The sequence below is a fragment of the Homo sapiens genome, chromosome X (assembly GCF_000001405.40).
Source record: "Homo sapiens chromosome X, GRCh38.p14 Primary Assembly".
Classification (NCBI taxonomy): domain Eukaryota; kingdom Metazoa; phylum Chordata; class Mammalia; order Primates; family Hominidae; genus Homo; species Homo sapiens.
The window spans coordinates 48,612,153-48,639,726 of NC_000023.11; the positions used below are offsets into that span (position 1 = coordinate 48,612,153).

General features: G+C 43.8%; 1 long non-coding RNA gene and 1 pseudogene across 2 annotated transcripts, besides 1 other annotated feature; both read left to right on the plus strand.

Moving 5' to 3' along the window:
• The first annotated feature begins 5,087 nt into the window (after window positions 1-5,087).
• LOC107985695 (uncharacterized) lies at window positions 5,088-26,668 on the plus strand. Of its 2 annotated transcripts, none has more exons than XR_001755842.2 (3): window positions 5,088-6,058; window positions 24,266-24,415; window positions 24,652-26,668. It is a non-coding gene; the product is annotated as an uncharacterized LOC107985695 (long non-coding RNA). The 2 variants fall into 2 exon arrangements; XR_007068227.1 differs by having other exon boundaries at window positions 24,266-24,411.
• Window positions 19,676-19,745: an enhancer, noted in NCBI's record as "active region_29607". NCBI's record gives its function as "activates an Ori minimal core promoter by ATAC-STARR-seq in GM12878 lymphoblastoid cells {active_cell/tissue: GM12878}" and the evidence as "EXISTENCE:reporter gene assay evidence [ECO:0000049][PMID:35858748]".
• On the plus strand, window positions 24,076-25,007 carry VN1R110P (vomeronasal 1 receptor 110 pseudogene; annotated as a pseudogene).
• Window positions 26,669-27,574: the final 906 nt, after the last annotated feature.

Sequence of the window (27,574 nt, forward strand, 5' to 3'; positions counted from 1 at the left end):
TATCCCAATATCAAATCCCACCTCTTTGTCTATATATTTAACAGAATAATTAAAGCAGAACTAATTAAAACTCCTTGCCCCTCTTACTTGACCTCAAATCTGGGTGTCTTTATTCTATCATCAGTGCTTTTCTTGTCTATTATTGAACTCTGTGTATTAACTCTCCTAACATCAATGTCCGTGTCTGACTTTAAACGATGGTGTCTGTTCATTCTTCCACTATAAATTCCTCTCTGGTAGTGTTGCCTTCCACACAGGCCTCTGATAAAACTACCATTGTTAATGCCCCCTTAAACAAGGACTTTGGTTAGTGAGTTTACCATCAATACCTTCCCGTTTGATTTTTTTATTTTTATTGAGACAGAGTCTTGCTCTTGTCACCCAGGCTGGAGTGCAGTGGCACGATCTTGGTTCACTGCAACCTCTGCCTCCCAGGTTCAAGCGATTTTCCTGCCTCAGCCTTCTGAGTAGCTGGGATTACAGGTGCATGCCACCACGTGTGGCTTTTTTTTTTTTTTTTTTTGAGATAGTCTCGCTGTGTTGCCCAGGCTGGAGTGCAGTGGCACGATCTCAGCTCACTGCAACCTCTGCTTCCTGGGTTCAAGTGATTCTCCTGCCTCCGCCTCCCGAGTAGCTGGTATTACAGGCATGCGCCACCATGCCCAGCTAACTTTTGTATTTTCAGTAGAGACAGGGTTTCGCCATGTTGGCCAGGCTGATCTCGAACTCCTGACCTCAAGTGATCCGCCTGCCTCAGCCTCCCAAAGCGCTGGGATTACAGGGGTGTGCTATCACGCCCGGCTGATACCTTCCTGTTTTAAAGCACTGACCCTGGCATGTGTTAACTAGTCCATCACCCATGCCCTATTTTCTGACCTTGAACTTGGACCATTGTTTTGTTTTTGAGACAGAGTTTATTTATTTTTGTGTGTGTGTGACGGAGTCTTGCTCTGTCGCCCAGGCTGGAGTGCAGCGGCGTGATCTCAGGTCACTGCAACCTCCGCCTCTGAGGCTCAAGTGATTCTCCTGCCTCAGCCTCCCAAGTAGCTGGGACTACAGGTGAGCGCCACCAGGCCTAGCTACTTTTTTGTATTTTTAGTAGAGACAGGGTTTCACCATGTTGGCCAGGCTAGTCTGGTACTCCTGACCTGAGGTGATCTGCCCGCCTCAGCCTCCCAAAGTGCTGGGATTACAGGCGTGAGCCACTGCACCCAACTGGACAATTGTTAAGTGTCTCTATATCCATGCCTCTTCGGTTACACTTTAAACCTGGGCTTATGGCAAATACTTCAGCATTAGTGGCCTTCAGATCTGAACTCAAATATAGAAGATTAAATTACTGGACTTATAAGGACTTCAGAGTGGTCACTATTAAGGAAATGCAGACTGCAGTCAGGATATAATGGGGTGAGAGACTGCAGTGTGGACATAAGTGTTCACAGAAATAAATGTGAGTTCTAGTGGAGTCACAGACTGGCGTATGGACACTCCTGTGATCTATACCTGACACTGTGTGACCCCAGGAGTTTCTGCACCCTGCTCTGTGTGACACCAGAAGTAGTCATGTCCCAGTATGTATGTGGCCAGGAGTGTCCACATTCTAGTCTCTGTGGCCTGAGGATTGTTGGCATCCTGGTCCCTGAACCCGTAAGTTCACACTCCAATCTGTGTGACCCATAAGTGTCCAAATTCCTGTCTGTGTGACCCCAGAAGTGTTCATATCACAGTCGATATGAGTATCTATACCTAGTCTGTCTGACCCCAGCATTTCCAAACTGCAGTCTGTGTGACTCATGGGGTTCACATCCCAGTCTGTTATCCCAAGTATGCCTACACCCAGCCTGTGTGACTCTCAGAGCATCGAAACCCGTTTGTGTGATCTCAGAAGAGTTCACATCCTATTCACAAAGGAGAGAATAGATATTCTTTCATTTCTGCTGCTGATAATTAGAGAAATGTAAATTCAATTGTTTTTTGTTTTTTGTTTTTTTTGAGATGGAGTCTCGCTCTATCGCCAGGCTGGAGTGCAGTGGTGTGATCTCGGCTCACTGCAACCTCTGCCTCCCGGGTTCAAGCAATTCTCCTGCCTCAGCCTCTCGAATAGGTGGGATTACATGCGCCCGCCACCACGCCCAGCTAATTTTTGTATTTTTAGTAGAGACAGGGTTTCACCATGTTGGCCAGGATGGTCTCGATCTCTTGACCTTGTGATCCGCCCGCCTCGGCCTCCCAAAGTGCTAGGATTACAGGCGTGAGCCACCGCACCTGGCCTCAACTGTATTTTTTTTTTTAACCTAAAGGTAACCACAAGTGGAATTTAAAACAGGGATAGGTTGGCGCAGCGGCTCATGCCTGTAATCCCAGCACTTTGGGAGGCTGAGGTGGGTAGATCACTTGAGGCCAGGAGTTTGAGACCAGCCTGGCCAACACAGTGAAACCTTGTCTCTACCAAAAAAATACAAAAATTAGCCAGGCATGGTGGTGTGTGCCTGTAATCCCAGCTACTCAGGAGGCTGAGACAGGAGAATCGCTTGAACCTGGGATGCAGAGGCTATGGTGAGCCGAGATCGTGCCACTGCACTCCAGCCTGGGTAAGAGTGAGACTTTGTCTCAGAAAAAAAAAATGACAAGGGCACTCAGACTGAATGAATGCTCCCAAGAAATAACCAAATGATATCTGAATCAATATGATTCAGAAAGTTTTTTTAATGATGCATAAAAATGCATGAGAAAAGTAAAGAGACAGAGAAAACAGCAGTTGCAATAGAAATTCAAGATAAAATTAGGGAAAAAAGCATTAGACAGTCAAAGAGGACCCTTTTTATTGATGAAGGGCATGATCAACATTGAAAATACAAGTCTTGAATTCCTGTATTCCATACAAGAGATCGAATCTTTAGCTAGAGGAATGGAAGACAGCCAATTGAATCCTAGCCAAACTTATGCATATGGTCGGATCAAATTGAGGAATCTTCACAGCAGACACTAAAAATTGAAATGGGCCTATCAATTAGGTTTAGTGGACAATGGAGGAAAAGCGAGGAAGTGGACACATGGTTTACCCATTTTCTCTCCCTGGACCCAAGAAAGGATACTTTGGTGACCTTGGGTGTTCTCCCTTGCAGTGAATATAAGTGGCTACAGTACAATGTTGAGCGCCCCTATGAGACCTTGACATGACTACACTAAGTTCATTTTCAGGTGCTTATTCAAAGGGGAAGTCACTGATGGCAAATTCTACCTCACAACCTCATCTGTATAGAAAAGATGTGCCATGATCGTGCCACTGCACTCTAGCCTGGGCAACAGAGTGAGACCTTGTCTCTAAATAATAATAATAATAAATTCCAAAACAAAACAAAACAACAACTTATAGTGGCCATAAGCTCAAGACCACAATGCAATCATGGTTAGAAATTAGTACTCAATTGTACAGAAGAAGCCATTAAGCCCCTCCTACCACAGCTAACTGAGATTCCGGCTGGTGGCTCTGAGGCTTTGTCCTCCATCTGTCCATGGTGATGCTCTAGCATTTCATAACAGGGTTGGTCTGGTCAGCTCTCAACACATCAACATAACTTACTCTTGCATCCGAGAGATTATTCAAGTGCCAAGTACCATCACTTTCTTCTTCTTCTTTTTTTTTTTCCTTGAGACAAAATCTTGCTCTGTCACCCAGGCTGGAGTGTAGTGGCGCCATCTGGGCTCACTGCAACCTCTGCTTCCCGGGCTCAAGTTATTCTCATGCCTCAGCCTCCCGAGTAGCTGGGACCACAGATGCATGCCATCACGCCCAGCTAATTTTTGTATTTTTAGTAGAGACAGGTTTTCCACATTGGCCAGGCTGGTCTCGAACTCCTGGCCTCAAGTGATCCACCCACCCTGGCCTCCCAAAGTGCTGGGATTACAGGTGTGAGCCACCACACCTGGCCACTATCAACTCTTCATTGTTGAGTTTTTCTAAGTTAAAACAACCTGTTTTTTGAGCTATGCTGCATATTACATGTTTCAGGAACTCCCCATAGACTGATTTCCCAGCTCCAGAAACATGCAATCCATCTGCTATTCCCTTGGGCTTTTTGCTTTCTTCTTTATTTTAGAGATGGGGGAGGGTCTCACTATGTTGCCCAGGCTGGACTTGGCCTCCTGGGCTCAAGAGATCTTCCCACCCCTGCCTCTCAAGTAGCTGGGACTACAGGTGTGAGCCACTGTGCCTAGCTTTTTGATATCTTGATTCCCTCAGAACCAGGTGGAAACATGTTCTGAATAAAAGCCAGTCCTGGGTATTCTTGCTCTACTCACCGGCTTGGTTGTGTTGGGCTGAGCCTTATAGAACACAGTGCTGGAGACCTTCTCAGGGTCACTTCCTGTACCCTTGACTTTGAGCTGCAGCCCTCTGGTTTTCTCAGGTGAGTTTTCTTGACTCTTTCCACTACTCTTCAGCCGATAAAGTGACCATTCCACTCATGTGCTTTCCCCTGGGGTAACTCCTAGTGGATGCAGTGTTGGGACCCCTTAGTTTCACTGGGCAGTGTCACAGGGCAGGCTCTTTAGAAGCAGAATTTCAGCTGGAGTTTGGGGCACAGGAGGTTTATCAGTTGATGTAAAGGGAAGGAGGAGGAAGCAGGATCGGGCAGGGGGAGAGCTGAGTATGATGCAAGCCACACAAAGCCTTGGCCAGCCCAGCGGGGAGCTCTGGAGCAGGGATGGCGTGGCAGAGTGTTTTGGGGTAAAGGGCATGAGCTTGGGGAAGTGACTTTCTGCAGACTCTGATGGAGCTGACATCTGGAGGCTGCCTGCCCACCGCACTCCCTGCAGCTGTGCAGCGAGCCTTTCCTTGAAAAGGGGTCTCAGTGGTGCACATTTTTTTTTGAGACAGAGTCTTGCTCTGTCGCTCAGGCTGGAGTATAGTGGCATGATCTCTGCTCATTGCAACCTCTGCCTCCCGGGTTCAAGCGATTCTCACGCCTCAGCCACCCAAGTAGCTGAGATTACAGGCGTGCACCACCACACGTCTCTACTGTTTTTAGTAGAGACGGGGTTTCAGCATGTTGACCAGGCTGGTCTCGAACTCCCGATCTCAAGTGATCCGCCCGCCTCGGCCTCCCAAAGTGCTGGGATTCCAGGTGTGAGCCACCGCACCCAGCCAGTGGTTCACATCTTTGTCTCCCACTGTCAGGAAAGGTATGGGGAGGAGCTGTGAAAAGAAATGGGTGGCCACTGGGTAAGTAACTGGGGACCCAGGGAAAATCCTGTTACTCCCATGACTCGCCCACATGGTCCTGAGCCAGTCACTTTACCACTCTGTGCCTCAGTTTCCTCAAGACTCAGTTGAGGGTTGGGGAGTATATCCATTCATTCTTCTGACCTATATTGACTGAGTACCTACATGTGCCAGGCACTGTGCCAAGTTATAACAGTCAACAAGGCACACAAAACCTCGCCCTCAGGGAGCTGACATTGCCAAGAACCCCTCAAATCTACCCAGTGACCCAGACTGAGGGCAGATGTCACCCCTGGCCTTGCTTGCAATGATCATGACGCACAGTGAGCACCGTGGCCTCGTTGCATATTCAGACAGATGACAGCCTGACATGGAAGCTGAGGATCTAATCAGTGGCATCCACATGGTAACAGGAAGGAAGGAGCCACTGTGGGTCCTTGAGCAGGAGCACGGAGATATCAGTGCAAAACTTCAGAAGGGCAATTCCAGTGGCAATCAATAGAAAAAGACCTTTTTACTGCATGTCACCCTGCCCCTTAGGTGAGTCAAATTAAGGCAAATAGCCGAGGCCAGGCCACCCTGTCTGTCCCCTGTTATATTTTTGGTTTTGGTTTGTTTATAGCTGAGTTATTCCCTAGTGGTGGCAGTGATGATTGGGAATTTGGCTTTCTGATCTGACCATTTGGTGACTTCTGGGAATGAATGAACGGATGTTGGCAGAGAACAGCAGGAGTCAGGCATGTTATCCTGTGTCTCTTGGATCTCTTGCCCTGTGGCTAACGGTGTGAAAATGAAGCATTAAGCTCCCTCTGTGGCTGCAGTCAGACTCCTGGGGTGAGTGAGTAATGTTTTCCCATCTCTGGAGGGTGTCTATACATTATTTTGTAATGTCACTTGAATTAAAGGAACTCAGTTCTGATTGGCTGATAGAGATAAATAAGCACTTATACAAATCAAATATTCCTAAAATTTAGGAAAATGAGGAAATCAGACTTTTTAAATGGCTGTCCTCTGTAGTCCAGGAAGAAACTGAACTTTTAGTACCGTAAATGCACTAGTCTTGAAAAAGATTCCTCCTTCAGAAACTAATTCAGAGACTTTAAGAATCCAAGTTCTCATAATTAAGATAAATCTTTGGCAAATGACATTAGTTTAATTATTTGAGTTTAATAAAAACAGTATAGGATGGGTGCAGTGGCTTATGCCTGTAGTCCCAGCACTTTGGGAGGCCAACGTGGGAGAATCCCTTGAGCCTGGGAGTTTAAGACCAACCTGGCCAACATGGCAAAACCCTGTCTCTACCAAAAATACAAAAATTCGCCAGTAGTGGTGGTGTGCGCCTGTAGTCCCAGCTACTTGGGAGGCTGAGGTGGGAGGATGGTTTGAGCCTGGGAGGCAGAGGTTGCAGTGAGCTGAGATCATGCCATTGCACTCCAGCTGGGGTGACAGAGCCAGATCCTGTCTCAAAAAAAGCAAAAACAAAAACAAAAACAAAATTATGCTATTATTAAGTAATTATCCTGTAATTATTATGGATGCTTTCTCTCTGATTTGTTAGTGTTAAGTATAATACAAGTGTGCATTTATCTACTTAAGTTTGTATTTTCCTAAATTGATGAAGGTTTACTGATCAAATAAGCTACCACTTCTCCTCCATAATGTTGAAGATTACAAAAAATGTATCCTTGCATTTGACTAAAATAAATCATTAATCTAATAAGTTTATTTCAACGTAATTATGTTTTGTAGTACGTCATCTTGAAGATAACTTCCAAGATCTTTAGGTAATTGAAAATTCTGACTGATACTCAATTGACTTAATTAATGGATGTTCACTGGATGCCCAGAGCATTTCTAAGTAAGGAAGAAAACGGAAACACTGATTACTAAGCACAATTTTAAATTTGTATAATTTTGCTTATTATTATTTTTAAATTTAATTCAATTTATTTTAATTGAGACAGGGTCTTACTTCGTTGCCCTGGCTGGAATGCAGTGGTGCGAACACAGCTCATTGTGGCCTTGACCTCCCAGGCTCAAGCGATTCTCCCACCTGAGCCTCCCAAGTAGTTGGGACTACTGGCGCATGCCACCAAGCCCGGCTAGTTTTCGCTTTTTGTTTTTTGAGACAGGGTCTCACTCTGGTTGCCCAGGCTGGAGTGCAGTGGCCTGATCTTGGCTCACTGCAGCCTCGAACTCTCAAGCTTAGGTGATTCTCCCACCTCAGCCTCCCGAGTAGCTGGGACAACAGGCACACACCACCACACCCAGCTAATTTGTGTTTTTTGTTGTTGTTGTTATTGTTGTTGTTTGAGATGGAGTCTCACTCTGTCTCCCAGGCTAGAGTGCAGTGGCGTGATCTCAGCTCACTGCAAGCTCTGTCTCCCGGGTTCACACCATTCTCCTGCCTCAGCCTCCCGAGTATTTGGGACTACAGGTGCCTGCCACCATGCCCAGCTAATTTTTTGTTGTTGTTGTTGTTGTTGTATTTTTAGTAGAGATGGGGTTTCACCGTGTTAGCCAGGATGGTCTCAATCTCCTGACCTCGTGACCTGCTCACCTCGGCCTCCCAAAGTGCTGGGATTACAGGCGTGAGCCACTGCGCCCGGCCTAATTTGTGTATTTTTTTTTAGAGAGAGGGTTTCACCATGTTGCCCAGGCAGGTCTCGAACTCCTGAACTCAAGCAGTCTTCTCGCCTCGGCCACCTGAAGTGCTGGGATTACAGGCCTGAGCCACTGCACCCAGCCATATTTTTGTATTTTTTGTAGAGATGGGGTTTCGCCATGTTGCCCAGGCTGGTCTGGAACTCCCAAGCTCAAGCAATTCACCTGCCTCGGCCTCCTGAAGTGCTGGGATTACAGGCGTGGGCCACTGTGCCTGGCCTGCTGCTTGTTTGTATGTGCTACAGAGAGGCCCTGTTTTGGGGTCTATCAATCAACATATCCATTTTTGCCACATCAAGATGTCATATAAGGGATGTGGGCCATTCTAGGGAGCTGGTTTAAGTGTAGCCCTGAGCTTGGCTAGTTGACTAAAATGACATTTCACAATTATCCACACCTTGGTGAAGTCAAAGTTAGTTCTATTTAATCTCTTAGGGCTTATTAAAGACCCCAAAGAGCTTTGATTTACGTGGGTTATGGCTATTGATACTTACTGGGTTAGAAATTAAAACAGAAAATTGTAAATATTTATTGAGTCATAGTAATAACAAATGCATTAACATGTTTAACATAAAGAATATCTTAGGGCCGGGTGCAGTGGCTCATGCCTGTAATCCCAGTACTTTGGGAGGCTGAGGTGGGAGGATCACTTGAGGCTGTAGTCAGACTCCTCAGGTGAGTGAGCAATATTTTCCTGTTTCTGGAGGGTATCCATAAATTATTTTATGAAGTCACTTAAATTAAAGGAACTCTGTTCTGATTGGCTGATAGAAATAAATAAGCACATATACAAATCAAATATTTCTAAAATTATAGGAAAATTAGAAAATCAAACTTTTTTTTTATTTCCTGGGCAACATAGAGAGACCTTGTCTCTACTTTTAATTTTTATTTAAAAGTAAAAAATGTTGGGTGTGATGGTGCATACCTGTAGTCCCAACTATGTGGGAGGCTGAGATGGGAGGATTGCTTGAGCCCAGGAGTTTGAGGCCATAGTGAGCTATGATGGTTGCTACTACACTCAAGCCTGGAAGACAGAGCAAGACCCTGTCTCATAAAACAAAACAAAACAAAAACATATCTTGGTATTACTATGAAATCAGTTCTGACCTTTGGGCCCTTGACATCTGTCTTCAAGTAAAGTGTCAGTTTGTTCCATGATATGAAACTTGGAAAGTGAATGTTATTTGCCTTGGCTGATAACCCCTGAGTTATGGAGGAAGCTATGCAATGTATTCATGTCTTAGGTTTGTTTCCTTGGCTTACAACATACATGGTGATTCTTTTTTTTTTGTGAGACGGAGTCTCGCTTCTCTGTCGTCCAGGCTGGAGTGCAGTGGTGCAATCCCGGCTCACTGCAACCTCTGCCCCCTGGGTTCAAGCGATTCTCCTGCATCAGCCTCCCGAGTAGCTGGGACTACAGGCACGCGCCACCATGCCCGGCTAATTTTTGTATTTTTAGTAGAGATGGAGTTTCACCATGTTGGCCAGGCTGGTCTCCATCTCCTGACCTCGTGATCCGCATGCCTCGGCCTCCCAAAGTTCTGGGATTACAGGCGTGAGCCACCGCGCCCAGCCTGTTATTCTTTACTTTATATTTAATCTGCCTAGAGAGGAAAGAATGTTTTACTAGAATAGTTTTCTGTGCTTTATTTTGGCTTTAGTATGTCCTTAATTTTTTTGGGGGGGGCGGGGCGCAGCGCGGACAGAATCTTGCTCTGTCACCCAGGCTGGCGTGCAGTGGTGCCCATCTTGGCTCATTGCCACCTCTGCCTCTCGGGTTCAAGCAATTCTCCTGCCTCCGCCTCCCGAGTAGCTGGGATTACAGGTGCGTGCAACCATGCCTGGCTAATTTTTGTATTTTTAATAGAGATGGGATTTCACCAGTTGCCCAGGCTGGTCTCGAACTCCTGGGCTCAAGTGATCACCCCGCTTGGCCTCCCAAAGTGCTGGGATTACAGATGTGAGGCACCGTGCCTAGCCAATTTTTTTTTTTTTTTTGGAGATGGAGTCTCGCTCTGTTGCCCAGGCTGGAGTGCAGTGGCGCAATCTCAGCTCACTGCAACCTCCGCCTCCTAGGTTCAAGTGATTCTCCTGCCTCAGCCTCCCAAGTAGCTGGGATTACAGGCACACACCACCAGGCCCGGCTAATTTTTGTATTTTTTTTAGTAGAGGTGGGGTTTTACCATGTTGGCCAGGCTGGTCTTGAACTCCTGACCTCAGGTAATCCACCCACCTTGGCCTCCCAAAGTGCTGGGATTACAGGCGTGAGCCACCGCTCCTGGCCTCGTGCCTGGCCTATTATGTCCTTAATTTTTGTTTTGTTTTGTTTTGTTTTGAGACAGAGTCTTGCTCTGTCACCCAGGCTGGAATGCAGTGGTGCGATCTCGGCTCACTGCAACCTCTGCCTCCTGGGTTCAAGCAATTCTCCTGCCGCAGCTTCCTGAGTAGCTGGGACTACAGGTGCCTGCCACCATGCCCGGCTAATTTTTTGTATTTTTAATAGAGATGGGGTTTCACCGTGTTAGCCAGGATGGTCGTGATCTCCTGACCTCATGATCCGCCCACCTCGGCCTCCCAAAGTGCTGGGATTACAGGCATGAGCCACCGCGTCCAGCCCTATGTCCTTAATTTTTGAAGAAAAGAAATACAAAGAAAAAAATTTTCTCTCTTAAGTGATTTATAATCATGTTACTCTCTATCCGTATTTTTATGTTTTATTGTCACTTTGGTCACCATTATTGTTTCTCAGGTACCTATAATATCTTACTCAAGTGTATAAAACTCCTCTTAATTTTTCTTTTTTCCTTTTTTTTTTTTTGAGATGGAGTCTCGCTCTTGTCGCCCAGGCTGGAGTGCAATGGTGTGACCTCAGCTCACTGCAACCCCTGCCTCCTGGGTTCAAGCGATTCTCCTGCCTCAGCCTCCCAAGTAGCTGGGATTACAGGTGTGAGCCACCATGCCCAGCTAATTTTTGTATTTTTAGCAGAGACGGGGTTTTACCATGTTGGCCAGGCTAGTCTTGAACTCCTGACCTGAGACGATCTGCCTGCCTCAGCCTCCCAAAGTGCTGGGATTACAGGCGTGAGCCACCGTGCCTGGTCTTCTTTTTTTTTGAGAGGGAGTGTCTCACTCTGGCGCCCAAACTGGAGTGCAATGGCATGATCTCGGCTCACTGCAACCTTCACTTCCTGGGCTCAAGCAATTCTCCCACCTCAGCCTCCCGAGTAGTTGGGATTCCAGGCACGTGCCACCATGCCCAGCTAATTTTTGTATTTTTAGTAGAGACGGGGTTTCACCATGTTGGCCAGGCTAGTCTCGAACTCCTGACCTTAGTTGATCTGCCCACCTCAGCCTCCCAAAGTGCTGGGATTACAGGTGTGAGCCACCTTGCCTGGCCAAGCCACCATGCCTGGCTTAGGTTTTCATTTTTATCTTCCCAAAGTCAGACCTAAATATAGAAAAAAATAAAGTTTAACTTTCATGATCTCCTTTGTACCTAAAACTATCTTTGAGATTTCACACAGGGATCCTAGAAAGTTACAAGGATCAGTTATTTCACTTTATTTAAAAAGGATGCTAGATACCGGGTGTGGTGGCTCATGTCTGTAAACACTTTGGGAGGCTGAGGCAGGCAGATCACATGAAGCTAGGAGTTCTCGCCAACATAGTGAAACTCTGTCTCTACTAAAAATACAAAAATTAGGCTGGGCGTGGTGGCTCATGCCTGTAATCCCAGCACTTTGGGAGTGAGTCCGAGGCAGGCGGATCACCTGAGGTCAGGAGTTTGAGACCAGCCTGGCCAACATGGTGAAACTCCGTCTCTACTGAAAACACGAAAATTAGCTGGGCGTGGTGGTGTGTGCCTGTAGTCCTAGCTCCTTGGGAGGCAGAGGTGAGAGAATTGCTTGAACCTGGGAGATGGAGGCTGCAGTGAGCTGAGATCATGCCATTGCACTCCAACCTGGGTGATAGAGTGAGACTCCGTCTCAAAAAAAAAAAAAAAAAAATTAGGCCGGGCATGGTGGCTCATGCCTGTAATCCCAGCACTTTGGGAGGCCAAGGCGGGCAGATCGCTTGAGGTTAGAAGTTCGAGACCAACCTGGGCAACATGGGGAAACCCCATTTCTACTAAAAATACAAAAATTATTGGTGGCGGGCGCCTATAATCCCAGCTACTCGGGAGACTGAGGCAGGAGAATCTCTTGAACCCAGGAGGCAGAGGTTGCAGTGAGCCAAGATCACGTCACTGCACTCCAGCCTCGGTGACAGAGTGAGACTCTGTCTCAAAAAAAGAAAACAAACAAACAAACAAACAAAAAAAGTGTATGCTTTATCGGAAGTTCCTGGAGATGTGTGCCCTTGCTTTTCATAATATGTTGCAACTTAGAGGAAACACTGAATGAAACTGTTATGAAATATTTCCTGGGCAGGGCGGTGGCTCATGCCTGTAATCCCAGCACTTTGGGAGGCCAAGGCAGGAGGATCACTTGAGCCCAGGAGTTCAATACAAGCCTGGGCAACACAGTGAGACCCCGTCTCTACTAAAAATTTTTTTTTAAAAAGTAAACGGGCATGGTGGCATGCACCTATACTCTCAGTTACTCAGGATGCTGAGGTGGGAGGACTGCTTGAGCCTCGTAGGTCATGGCTGCAGTGAGCTGAGATTGTGCCATGGCCACAGAGCAAGACCCTGTCTCAAAAAAAAGAAAAAAATTATTTTCGTTGAGTTTTCCTGTATTCATCAGAGTCCTGGTGGTGCTTTGCTTGATGATATTAGACAACAGCAGTATAGAGTATTATTGGTCATAATAATTGGTTATTATTGTAAATGCTTACTTGCTCACAGCCTTCTTTAATTTGAATCTGACATCTTCTAGGCCAGTGACGCTCAGTGCACATCAGACTTACCCATAAGGTTTTATTAAAATACAGATGTTTAGATTCTACTCCAAACTGACTGAATCTCGTTATTTTATATTCTTGGTATATTATGCATGCTACATCTCAGGATTATTATATACTATATACAAATTTTTTTTTCTATATACTATATACAAGTTTTTTTTTCTGGTTGGACGTGGTGGCTGATGCCTGTAATCCCAACACTTTGGGAGGCCAAGGTGGGCAATGACTTGAGCCCATGAGTTCGAGACCAGCCTGGGCAACATGGCAAAACCCAGTCTCTACAAAATAGTACAAAAAATTACCTGGGCATGGTGGCATGTGCCTGTAATCTCAGCTACTGGGGAGGCTGAGGTGGGAGAGTTGCTTGAGTCCATGAGGTCAAGACTGCAGTAAGCTGTGATTATACCACTGCACTCAAGCCTGGGCAACAGGGCAAAACCCTGTCTCTAAAAAAAAAAAAAAAAAGTAAAAATAAAGATTTTTTCCTCTATAAGAATGTGTTCATCCATATTTATAAATGAGAGGTAGCATTCACAGGTGTCTTTGAAAATAAACTTTGGCCAGGTGCAGTGGCTCATTACCTATAATCCCAGCACTTTGGGAGGCTGAGGCAGGTGGATCACCTGAGGTCAGGAGTTGAAGACCAGCCTGGCCAACATGGTGAAACCCTGTCTCTACTAAAAGTACAAAAATTAGCTGGGCGTGGTGGCGGGTGCCTGTAGTCCCAGCTACTTGGGAGCCTGAGGCACAAGAATCACTCGAACCAGAGAGGTAGGGTTGCAGTGGGCCGAGAGCGTGCCACTGCACTCCAGCCTGGGAGACAGAGTGAGATTCTGTATCAAAAAAAAAAAAAAAAAAAAAAAAAAAACGGCGGGGCATGGCGGCTCATGCCTGTAATCCCAGCACTTTAGGAGGCTGAGGCAGGTGGATCACTTGAGGTCAGGAGTTCAAGACCAGCCTGGCCAACATGGCGAAACCCCATCTCTAATAAAAATACAAAAACATTAGCCGGGCCTGGTGGCACGCACCTGTAGTCCCAGCTACTCGGGAGGCTGAGGGAGAGAATTCCTTGAACCTGGGAGGCAGAGGTTACAGTGAGCCGAGATCGTGCTACTGCACTCCAGCCTGGGTGGTAGAGCAAGACTCCATCTCAAAAAATAAATAAATAAAAATAAACTTAATCATTATCTTTAGAGACATTTTTGTCTAAAAAAATTATTAGGAACGGCTTAAAACTGCAAACATTTTTATCTTAGTTTCTGTAGGTGTGGGATCTGGGTGCAGCTTTGCTATTACTAATAGATAGTCCTGGCTCAGGGTCTCTCATGAAGTTGCGTCTAGGGCTACAGTCATCTGAAGGCTTGACTGGGGCTGGGGGTGTCTGCTCCCAAGAAGGCCCACTCACCTGGCTGATGGCTGGTGTTGGCTATTGGCTGGGGTGCTTCAGGTCTCCTCCATGTGGCCTCTCAGTCTCCAGGGCCTCATTTTTTTCATATAGCCTTTCTAATTGATGGCTGGGCTCCAGTGAGACAGAGAGAGGGATCTTTTTATAAATGAATCTCAGAGGTGGTATTATCATTTCTACCATATTCTATTTGTTTTGAGTCACAAAATCCAGACCACACTCAAGGCGGGGGGCACAGACACCAGGATGGGGAATCATCAGGGACCACCTCAAAGGCTGACCACAGCATTGCCCCTAAAATGTATGGGGCCCCAGACAAGTATTTTTTGCAGGAACTCTGTCTATATAAACAATTTAAATACAAAATGTATTACAAGATCATGAGTCCATATGAGGTATTGGGATTTACTGATGAAGATTTTAATTTATTTATTTTAGAGATGGGGTCTTGCTCTGTCACGCAAGCTGGAATGCAGTGGCGTGATCTCACCTCACTGCAGCCTCAAATTCCTGGGCTCAAATGATCTTCCCACCTTGGCCTCCAGAGTAGCTGGAATTATAGGCATGACGCCACTATGCTCAGCTAATTAAAAATTTTTGTTGTTGTTGGTGGAGATAGTGTCTTGCTTTTGGAGGGTAAAGGTTTAGAACAATGTGTCGACCCATTGTGAAGTGAAATAAATCAATCAATAAATAAAATAGAACAGTGTGTATGTCTGGGTGTGGTGACTCACCCAACTACTTGGGAGGCTGAGGTGGAGCCCAGGGTTGAGAAATGTTCAAGGCTGCAGTGAGCCATGATGGCACCACTGCACTTCAGCCTGTCTCTAAAAAGAAAAATTTTTAAATGAAATAATGCTATAGCTGTCATAAATTTGTAGGTACTAATTAATAGAGTGGCAAGATGCAAAAAGTATAACCTCTGGGAAATGTAATAAATAAATGATGGAAATATACCAGAAGCAGGAGGCTTTAACTTACCTTTGTCAGCAAATGACAGCTCTAGTAGACAAAAACAAAAACAGTATAATTAATAAAGCTATATCAAATTCTCTTTTCTTAAAACCATGAATACATCTTTTAGTCAGTCAGCAACTATGGAACATTAGTAATCACTGGCCATAATATTAGGCCACAGAGAAAAGTTTAATAAATTCCAAAAAGTAGAATGGATACAGACCACATTCTTTGACCATAATGCAATAAACATAAACATGGACTTTTTCTTTTTTCTTTCCCTTTCTTTTTTTTTTCTTTTCTTTTTTTTTTGAGACAGAGTCTTGCTCTGTCACCCAGGCTAGAGGGCAGTGGTGTGATCATGGTTCACTGCAGCCTCTGCCTCTTGGGCTCAAGTGATTCTCCTACCTCAGCCTCCTGAGTAGCTGGGACTACAGGCGTGAGCCACCACACCCAGCTAACTTTTTGTATTTTTTTGTAGAGACGGAGTTTTGCCATGTTGCCCAGGCTGGTCTTGAACTCCTGAGCTCAAGCAATCCTCCTGCTTCGGCCTCTCAAAGTACTGGGATTACAGGTGTGAGCCACCAGGTCTGGCCAAACTTGGATTTTTTAAAACAAAAATAAAACCACAAAACTCCAATAGCTCAGGGAAAAAAGATTTAGCTCTCTCACGTTTTATAATATCCAGTGCTGTCAAGAGTATGAGGAAAACTGATAATATATAACAGGTGGCAGTATAAAATTCAGCAAGCATTTTAGAAAAAGTTTCACAGTATTTATCAAAGTTTTACATTTATATACATTTTGATCCAGGATTTTTTTTTTTTTTGGCTAGGAATTTGCTCTTTGTGTGTGTGGTTTTTTTTTTTGTTTTGTTTTTACTTTGTAAATTTACTTAAAAAAATAGCTGTCTGCATATTTTTAATGGATGAGTAAACCAAAAATATATAAACAGCTATTTATAAAGGGGTGAATAAAAAAAGATAAAATAGTTTCTTATGGGTGGAGGGAGAGGGAAGAAGGTTGAGGAGACAGGGATAGAAGCTAGATTTATCTAAATATACCATATTATTATTATTATTATTATTATTTTGAGACGGAGTCTCACTGTGTCGCCCAGGCTGGAGTGCAGTGGCACGATCTCGGCTCACTGCAACCTCCGCCACCCGGGTTCACGCCATTCTCCTGCCTCAGCTTCCCGAGTAGCTGGCACTACAGGCTCCCGCCACCACACCCGGCTAATTTTTTTGTATTTTTAGTAGAGACGGGGTTTCACCGTGTTAGCCAGGATGGTCTTGATCTCCTAACCTCGTGATCCACACGCCTTGGCCTCCCAAAGTGCTGGGATTACAGGCGTGAGCCACTGCGCCTGGCCCATATTATTATTATTTATCTTTTGAATATACTGTACTATTATTGAGAACCATGCAAACACAGTATCATTGTATAATCATTATTATATAAAATTATGTATTATTTAAAAATTGCATCATATCAAAAGGAAGTTATAGATTACTGGGGTCATATCAAGCAAGTTTCAAAGGCTCCCATTGGCCAAAGATGGGGCAATTTGAGCATCAAAAAGAACAATAACTGCAATAGATTGAAATACATCACCTAGCCCTCAGGGCAGAATGATGCCACAAAATCTCCCTGGCCACCTTTGGAGGATGCTAGTGAACCAACTCATTCTGAAAACTGATAAATAAAGAGAGAGACAAAGTAACTGACTAGATAATTGATTAAAGAATTATTATTTTTGAGATATGATCATGATTTACTGCTAACTTGTTAAAAGCTCTTATCATTTGGGCCGGGCGCGGTGGCTCACGCCCGTAATCCCAGCACTTTGGGAGGCTGAGGCGGGCGGATCACAAGGTCAAGAGATGGAGACCATCCTGGCCAACATGGTGTAACCCCGACTCTACTAAAAATACAAAAATTAGCTGGGCGTGGTGGTGTGCACCTGTAGTCCCAGCTACTCGGGAGGCTGAAGCAGGAGAATTGCTTGAACCTGGGAGACGGAGGTTGCAGTGAGCCGAGATTGCACCACTGCACTCCAGCCTGGCAACAGAGCAAGACTCTGTCTCAAAAAAAAAAAACAAAAAAAGGAAAAGTTCTTATCATTTACAGCAACATCTTGAGAGATTCATGGGTAAAATGATGTAATATCTGGGTGTTGCTTCAAAATAATCCAGTGGGGATGTGGGTAGAGGACATAAAAGAAACAACATTGGCTGTGAATTGATAAATGTTGAACTAGGTGATGACTACATGGAGATTTATTGTATTGTTCTCTCTACTTTTTTATACGCTTGAAATTTTCCATAACAGAAAAATAATTTTATGGAGGCAAAAGCTGTAAACAGTGTTCTATGCCTATATTGAGAGTATGACTCATGACTTTTTTTTAAAAAAAGCCAGACCTGACCTTAAAAATTTCTTTTATTTTAATTTAATTAAAAAAAATTTTTTTAGAGACAGCGTCTCACTTTGTCGCCCAGACTGGAGTGCACTGGTGTGCTCATAGCTCATTGTGCAGCTTTGAACTCCTGGGCTCAAGCGATCCTTCCACCTTAGCTTCTTGAGTAGCTGAGACTACAGGCACGAACCACCACACCCAACTAATGTCTTTATATTTTATATTATTTTATTATAATTTTATTTTACTGTATTTTATTTATTTGTTTGTTTTGAGACAGGGTCTTTGCTCTGTCACCCACGCTGGAGTGCAGTGGCATGATCTCAGCTCACTGGAGCCTTGACTTCCTGGGCTCAAGTGATCCTCCCACCTCAGTCTCCCAAGTAGCTGGGACTACAGGCATGCACCACCACACCTGGCTAATTTTTAAAAAATTTTGGTAGCAATGGGACCTCAACATGTTGCCCAGGCTGGTCTCAAACTCCTGGACTCAAGCAATCCTCCCTCCTCAGCTTCCCAAAATGTTGGGATTAGAGGCATTGAACCACTGCACCTGGCCTATTTTATTTTTGAAAATAGAGACAGGTGGGGGGGGTGGGTGTCTCCCTATATTGCTCAGGCTGGTCCCGAACTCCTGGTCTCAAGTGATCCTTTTGGCTTCCCAAAGTGCTGGGATTACATGAGCCACCACTCCTGGCCACTGTGCTGGGTTTAATTGTGGAGAACTATAACTAAGCATTGTCTTTAAAAAACGAGTACATTGGCCGGGCGCGGTGGCTCACGCCTGTAATCTCAGCACTCTGGGAGGCGGAGGCGGGCGGATCACGAGGTCAGGAGATCGAGACCATCCTGGCTAACACGGTGAAACCCCCATCTCTACTAAAAATACAAAAAATTAGCCGGGCGTGGTGGCGGGCACCTGTAGTCCCAGCTACTCGGGAGGCTGAGGCAGGAGAATGGCGTGAACCCAGGAGGCGGAGCTTGCAGTGAGCCGAGATCGCACCACTGCACTCCAGCCTGGGCGACAGAGTGAGACTGCCTCAAAAAAAAAAAAAAAAAAAAAAGAGTACATTTTGGGCCGGTTGCAGTGGCTCACATCTACAATCCCAGTACTTTGGGAGGCCGAGGCAGGCGGATCACCTGAAGTCAGAAGTTGGAGACCAGCCTGGGCAACACGGCAAAACCCCGTCTCTACTAAAAAAACATAAAAACTAGCCAGGCATGTTGGCGGGCGTCTGTAATCCCAGCTACTCGGGAGGCTAAGGCAGGAAAATTCCTTGAACCTGGGAGGTGGAGGTTGCAGTGAGCCCGGATCACGCCACTGCACTCCAGCCTGGGAGACAGAGGGAGACTCCATCTCAAAAAAAAATTAAAATTAAATTAAAATAAAAAAAGAACATTTTGGCCTACAATTCCTGACAAAGATGGAATGTGGGCAAATGCATGATGACCTGGATTATTTCTGGGAGAATTGTAAAGAGTTTCTGTAGTCAGCAGAAATGCTTTGAATACTTTCCATATATTAGTTCATTAATCCCCCATGAAGTACAAGTAGGGGAAACTGAGGCACAGGGAAGTTGACTAATTTGCCCAGGGTCACAAAGTGAGTAAGTGGCAGAACCGCTATTTGAACCTAGCTGCGCTCATAGTGCTTTAATCTTCAATCAGCGAGGATCGTCAAGTTGGCTGCTGGATCTTTCTGGATCTTTTTTTCATTACCTCGCCTTTCATGTTGTTTGTCCACATAGCTTGAGGCTTTATCACAGATTGCTCTTGGGGGCAGTGTTACTCCAGAAATGCCGGAATGCTCCGCTATTCCTCACTCCACCCCTAAATATACAGCATCTCCTCCCGCCCTTAAGCTCTGAAAAAAATGCTGCGGAGCCAGAAAGGCTGCAGAAAGCCGGGTGTGACCACTGGCTCTGTAGCCAACCTGTTCCCTGCTGCTGCTGCTGCTGCTGCTGCTGCTGCTGCTGCAGTCGTTTGGTTTCCTCTTTGAATCTGAGATGATTCTGAGGTCTACACTGCAAACTCTTGGCATATATCATTTCTAGAATTCCATTCCTACTCGACCTAGGCTGTGAGTCTGCACTAGTTCGCGGCACGTTAGATCGCGCCCATTTCCCTTATTGGCAAGTTGTCAGGTTGAGGAAGCTCCAGGCCTGGAGGAGGGCATCTCCAGCCACCAGCCATGAAGCCCAGGGCCTCAGGCACCTTCTGGCCTCCGGGTGGCCTCCTCTATTCGCTGACCCAGACACTAGTCCAGTGGTTCCCAAAGTGGGGTTCCCTGGCAGGCAGCAGCTGCCTCGCTGGGAATCTATTAAAAATGCATACTCCCAGGCCCCACCCATGACCCACTGAATCAGAAGCTGTGGGCCTGGGGCCCAGCAGTTGGTGTTTTCAGAAGCCCTCCAGTGGACTCCAATGGTTCCTAGAGTTTCAAAAGCACACTGGGCTAGGCCAGGTGTGCCAAGAGAGAAGTAGCTTTTTGGCTCAAGTCCTCACAGGAATGGTCAGAGGGTCCCCATCAGTCTATCAGTGTGCACCATACAACGCTCACAGAGGGACACACGTGTGCCCGTGTGCATGCGTCCCTGTATGGACTCCAGTTGGAGGGGGAGGGACAGTTTTGCCTTGTGGTTTTGTCACTCGCCATTGGAAAATAGCCCTTTCCCCTACTACTAAATAGCTTCCCATTGTTTTCTAGTCCCTTTACTTCCATTTCAGAGAGTGTTTTCTCTTCTGTGTTTTTTTGTTTGTTTGTTTTTTGAGACGGAGTCTCACTCTCTCACCCAGGCTGGAGTGCAGTGGCGCGATCCTGGCCCATTGCAACCTCCGCCTCCGGGATTCAAGCAATTCTCCTGCCTCAGCCTGCTAAGTAGCTGGGATTACAAGTGCCTGCTACCACACTCACCTAATTTTGTATTTTTAATAGAGATAGGGGTTTTGCCATGTTGGCCAGGTTGGTCTCGAACTCCTGACCTCAGATGATCCACCTGCCTCGACCTCCCAAGTGCTGGGATTACAGGCATGAGCCACCATGCTGGGTCCCTCTTCTCTTTGGAAAAGTCATCCACGTTGGTTGCAAGTTTTTCAGAAAAGAGGGAACTACATTATAGAAATAAATGGCAAACAGACACCCAACACCCAAGGAATAATTTCTCATCTCTGTCCTTTCAATGTGTATATTTCTAAATGTCCGTGTTTATATTTACATAAATTAAAAAAAACGGTTTACTTGTACGTGTCATTTTGTTTTTATCTTAAATTTTTGTGTTTTTAATTTTGGTGATATATCATTTTGGTTGTACTTTTTCACTTCTGTACATACTGTTACATAACATGCAGTTTTCCAGTAACACTAACTTGTGAATGCATATTTTACAATTTTATTTATATTTATTTATTTATTTACTTTTGAGACAGTCTCACTCTGTCTCCCAGGCTGGAGTGCAGTGGCTTGATCTCGGCTCCCTGCAACCTCCACCTCCCAGGTTCAAGCAATTCTCCTGCCTTAGCTTCCCGGGTAGCTGGGATTACAGACCCGCCACCGCGCCTGGCTAATTTTTGTTTTTTTAAGTAGAGACGGGGTTTTACCATGTTGGCCAGGCTGGTCTCAAACTCCTGATCTCAGGTGATCTGCCTGCCTAGGCCTCCCAAAGTGCTGGGATTACAGGCGTGAGCCACCGCGCCCGGCCCCCCCTTTTTTTTTTTTTGAGACTGAGTTTCCATCTTGTTGCCCAGGCTGGAGTACAATGATGCGATCTCAGCTCACCACAACCTCCGCGTCCCGGGTTCCAACGATTCTCCTGCCTCAGCCTCCCCAGTAGCTGGGATTACAGGCATGCACCACCACACCCGGCTAATTTTGTATTTTCGGTAGAGACGGGGTTTCTCCATGTTGGTCAGGCTGATCTCAAACTCCCAACCTCAGGTGATCCGCTCACCTCCACCTCCCAAATTGCTGGGATTACAGGCATGAGCCACCGTGCCTGGCAGGATAGAAGCCATTTTAACTGGGGTGAGATGGTATCTCATTGTAGTTTTGATTTGCATTTCTCTGATGATCAGTGACATTGAGCACCTTTTCCTATGCCTGCTTGTCATTTGTAGGTCTTCTTTTGAGAAATGTCTATTGAGATCTTTTGCCCACTTTTTGATCAGATTATTAGATTTTTTCCTCTAGGGTTGTTTGAGCTCTTTATATATTCTGGTTATTAGTCCCTTGTCAGATGGGTAGTTTGCGAATATTTTCTCCCATTCTTTGGGTTGTCTCTTCACTTTGTGGATTGTTTCCTTTGCTGTGCAGAAGTTTTTTAACTTGATGTGATCCCATTTGTCCATTTTTGCTTTGGTTGCCTGTGTTTGCCAAATTCATTTTACAAGGCCAGCATTACCCTAATGCCAAAGTCAGACACTACAAGAACACTACAGCCAATATCCCTGATGAACATAAATGCAAAAAGCCTGCACGAAATACTAACAAACAAAATCCAACAGCACATTAAAAGGATCATACATCATGACCAAATGGGATTAATCCCTAAGATGCAAGGATGGGTCAACATACATAAATTAATAAATGTGATATACCACATTAACAGAATGAAGGATAACAATCATCTCAAAAGATTCAGAAAGAGTATTTCACAAAAATTCAATGCCACTTCATGATAAAAACTCTAAACTAGGTATAGATGGAATTTACCTAAGCATAATAAAGGCCATATATGCCTGGCTAATTTTTGTATTTTTAATAGAGACGGGGATTCACCACGTTGGCCAGGCTGGTCTTGATCTCCTGACCTCAAATGATCCTCACCTCGGCCTCCCAAAGTGTTGGGATTACAGGCGTGAGCCACCGCACCCTGCCACAATTTTCTTCTAAGATAAAAAAGTTTACATAAGGGTTCTCTGGGATGGAAACAAAAGTTGGACAGAGCCAGGATTATTTTAATAAAATACAATTAATAGGAGTTGTGATAAATGAAATGATGCCCCACAAAAGTGCCCATGTCTTAACCCCCACGTTCTAGGAATATATTATGGTATATGACAAAGAATAGAGGCTGTAGATAAAATCAAGGATGATAATCAGATGACTCTAAAACAAAGAGATTAATTTGAATTATGAGATTGGTGTCTACAGCCATACCACCCTGAATGCACCTGATCTTATCTGAATTATAAGTGTGAGCCTAGGGTAATCACAAAAGTTCTTAAATGGGAATGAGAGGCTAAGAAAATTAATGCTGTGATATGAGAGTCAGATTTTTTTTTAATTTTTTTTTAAATTATGTTGGGCTGGGCACAGTGGCTCACGCCTATAATCCCAGAACTTTGGGAGGCCAAGGCGGGCGGATCACCTGAGGTCAGGAGTTCGAGACAAGCCTGGCCAACATGGTGAAACCCCATCTCTACTAAAAATATAAAAATTAGCCAGGCATGGTGGCAGGTGCCTGTAATCCCAGATTCTTGGGAGGCTGAGGTAAGGGAATTGCTTGAACCTATGAGGCAGAGGTTACAGTGAGCCGAGATCACACCATTGCACTCCAGCCTGGGGGACAAGAGTAAAACTCCGTCACAAAAAAAAAAAAAAAAAAAGTATGTATACACGGCCAGGCACGGTGGCTCACGCCTGTAATCCCAGCACTTTGGGAGGCCAAGGTGGGTGGTTCACTTGAGGTCAAGAGTTGGAGACCAGCCTAGCCAACACGGTGAAACCTTGTCTCTACTAAAAATACAAAAATTAGCCAGGCATGGTGGTGCACACCTTTAGTCCCAGCTACTAGGGAGGTTGAGGTAAGAGAATTGCTTGAATCCGGGAGGTGGAGGTTGCAGTGAGCCGAGATCATGCCACTGCACTCCAGCCTGGGCGACAGAGAGACTCCATCTCAAAAAAAGAAAAAAAAAATATATATATATACACACACACACACACACAATTATTCTTAGAATATATATATATATATATATATACATATATATATATATATATACTAGGTATATAGTGTAAAAATAATGCTGACTGTACTTTTGAAAATTTATGTAATAGAATTAATCAAGAATTTTATGAGATAAAAAAGTGATGATTTTGAACATACAATAAATAACATTTATGAGGTAAAGTCTATTTTTTTTTTTTGAGACAGAGTCTTGCTCTGTTGCCCAGGCTGGAGTGCAGTGGCGCGATCTTGGCTCACTGCAAGCTCCACCTCCCGGGTTCATGCCATTCTCCTGCCTCAGCCTCCCAAGTAACTGGGACTACAGGTGCCTGCCACCACGCCCAGCTAATTTTTTGTGTTTTTAGTAGAGATGAGGTTTCACCGTGTTAGCCAGGATGGTCTCCATCTCCTAACCTCGTGATCCGCCCACCTTGGCCTCCCAAAGTGCTGGGATTACAGGCGTGAGCCACCACGCCGGGTGTAAAGTCTATTATTTTCAGATATTCAAAATATGTTTCTCTTTTGCAATTTACATTATTACATTCCACTTATGTTTTCATTGAAAAATGCCTCTTTTTTTCAAGCTGGCATTGGAATCTTGACCCTCAGCTTCCTCATTTTCTTCCTCGTCTTCACACTTCTTCTGTAATGCAGGCCTGAGCCCACAGACCTGACCATTTATCACCTGGTCTTCATCCACATAGTGATCCTCCTTACTCTGGTGTCATTGTTGTCTCCAGGTCTGCCTGAGTCACTGTATTTTCAGAATGACTTCAAGTGTAAAGGATTTTTTTTACCTGAACAAGATGATGAGAAGTTTCTCCATCTGCACCACCTGCTTCCTGAGTGTGCTTCAGACCATAATCATCAGCCCCAGAAGCTCTTGGTTGGTGAGGTTTAACCATAAATCCACCATTTTCACCTGTCATTTCTTGTTGTTTTTACATTTTCTCAGTTTTTTTTTTTTTCAGTAGTAATCTCATCTTGTGCACTGTGGGGTCTTCTAATGTGACCCTGAGCAATCTTCTGCATACCAGTAAAGACTGTTCACTTTTCCACCATGAACTCCATCATCAGAAGACTGTTTCTTACTCTGTTTCTTACTCCAGATATGTTTTTCTTATAGGAACAATGCTGCTTTCAAGTGCATACAGAGTGGTCCTTTTGTTCAGGCACCAGAAGAAATTCTGATACTTTCACAGCACCAGCCTCTCCCCAAGACCTTCCCCAGAGAAAAGTGCCACTCAGACCATCCTGCTGCTAGTGAGTTTCTTTGTGGTCATCTACTGGGTCGATTTCATCATCTCATGCACCTCAACCTCGCTATGGGCATATGACCCTGTTGTCCTGGGTGTCCAGAGGCTTGTCAGTCTTTTGGTGCTACTCAGATCTGATAAAAGGATAATCATTGTGACACAAACTGTGAGACAGAGGGTTAACAAGTTATTTTTATTGAAAATAGATTATTCTGTCACCAGTTAAATTACATAAGTAGTACAGAACTTGCTATTTAATTTAACTTAAATGTATGGATTTACACTTTCAATATGTCTAAATACTTTTGAATCAAATGCTGCCAATTCTCTGTGGGTTTTTTTTAGTTTAACATACATGATGGATAGATACTCCCATATGTTTACAAGTGTCTTCTTTTTCATTTTGATTTTCAGGCCTTAATACAGAGAACATTTTTCTTTCTTTTTGAAGTATAATATTAAGAATATCCTCCTGGTAATATAATCTCTCTGTCTTCGTATTTTTGAGAATGTTTTATTTTTATTTATTAAAGATATTTGACTAAATATTAAATTCTTACACTCAATATTTACTTCTCCTTGTTCTGGCTTCTATCAAGGCTGTGTGGATGGTGCCTACAAATTTGTGGCTTACCTCTGTTTTTTATCTCCCTAATTTTAAGATTTTTCTTTCTTTTTAGTGTTATACAGCTTGACTATTATTTCTGTATAAATGATCACCTGTATTTACCTTTTTTTTGAAAACTATGTACTTCTGAATTCGAGAATTTTTTCTGGCTTTTAATTTTACAAAAAATTATTTCTTTCTAAAATTACATTTGTGTCTTATTCTTTGTATGTATTTCAGTGAAACAACTGAATATACTTTATTCCTTCTAATCTTTGTCTTTATAGATCTATAAATATATTTACATCTTATATCACTTTACTTTTATTAGCATCGATTTTCTCTCCTTAATCTTCCAGTGCACTATTTATCTCATTAGCTTATTCTAAGTTAATAGTTTCCCAATACAATGTATATTGAATTTATAGATTTTTATTTCTCATTTATTCAATTTACAGTTAGCTCTTTCCATGGATGCTCTTCAATTTTTAAGTTTCTTCCTCTTTAAACACTATTTTTGTCTCTTATTTTATCACTGAATTGATGTAAACATTTTAAATACAATTCCAATTATTATTAATTTATGTAGCATCCAATTTCTTCTTACTCTAAATTGTGGTAGCTTATTTTGTGTGTGTGTGTACTTCATAACTTCTTATAATTTAGCTGTCATGATTGGGAGACCTTTCCCTGTAAATGTCTTCAATCAGTATATTTGTTTGTTCTACTTAACCTGGCACAATATTATCAATTTTGCCTTGTGATCAGCCATTCGCTTCTCACGTTGATAAAGCCTTTGAATCTTTTCTTGACTCATTTGTGTTCCTGGAAAGTTCTGATATTTTTCCTTTCAGCCCCATTGGGCATTCTAGAGATTTTTGTAACTTTTGATGCACAAACTTTCACACTGCACACATAAAATATTTTAGTTATGTAATGCTACCACACATCAGCATCTTATGAGAAATCTTGAGTCTCTTTACTTGAAGCACCCCCTCTCCAATATACAGTATGATACACTGATGTGCAGAATGTGATTAGTTTATTAATCATATGTGAAAATATTAGTAGCTACATATGGCCAGAATAGATTTTTCTCTCTACAAATGTAAGTTAGTGTTGATAGAATTTGTTATGCGATATTTGGTTCTTTGGTTTCAGTCTCAATGCTTTCTTCTTGGCATTTCATTGACTCTGTAAATTAACCTCAGCATCAATTTTCTTTTAAATTCAACAGTTATTCAAATTGATCGAAAATTAAACTTGTATGTAGCTAGTTATCACTTGTGGGTTACACTTTAATTGACGGTTTCTGATGTCATTTCATAGTGTCTAGAATATAGGACCTATTGGAGATCTACTTTCATGAAATTACTGACATAATTTTGGGTCCAAAATTTCAAAATTTTAAATATTTTTATTTGGAATTTTAAAATAATTTATATGCTCTTTTTACTGGCTAATAATGCTATTCATTATAATCTGATATTCAAACTGTCTAAAAAAGTTAACAATCATTGATTTATTTGTTGTATATACAGTTTATTTCTATGACAGTTTTAATGTCACCTAATATTATTTTTAATGTTTCAATTTCTCATTTAAATACATTTTGTGTTGTTTATTTTAATCTCATTCAATCTGTATGTGCAAATGGCTTAGAAAAAAAGGCCATATATGACAAGCCCACAGCTAACATCATATAGTCAACAGTGAAAAACTAAAAGCTTCTCCTTTAAGATCAGGAACAAGGCAAGGATGCCCATTCTCACCACTCCTATTCAACATAGTACTAGAAGTCCTAGCCAGAGCAATTAGGCACGAAAAAGAAATAAAAGGCAGCTGGGCGCGGTGGCTCACACCTGTAATCCCAGCACTTTGGGAGGCCAAGGCAGGCGGATCACGATGTCAGGAGATCGAGACCATCCTGGCTAACATGGTGAAACCCTGACTCTACTAAAAATACAAAAGATTAGCCGGGCGTGGTGGCGGGAGCCTGTAGTCCCAGCTACTCGGGAGGCTGGGGCGGGAGAATGGCGTGAACCCAGGAGGCGGAGCTTGCAGTGAGCCGAGATCATGCCACTGCACTCCAGCCTGGGTGACTCCAGACTCCATCTCAATAAATAAATAAATAAATAAATAAAAAAGAAAAAAAAAGAAATAAAAGGCAACAGGCCAAGTGCAGT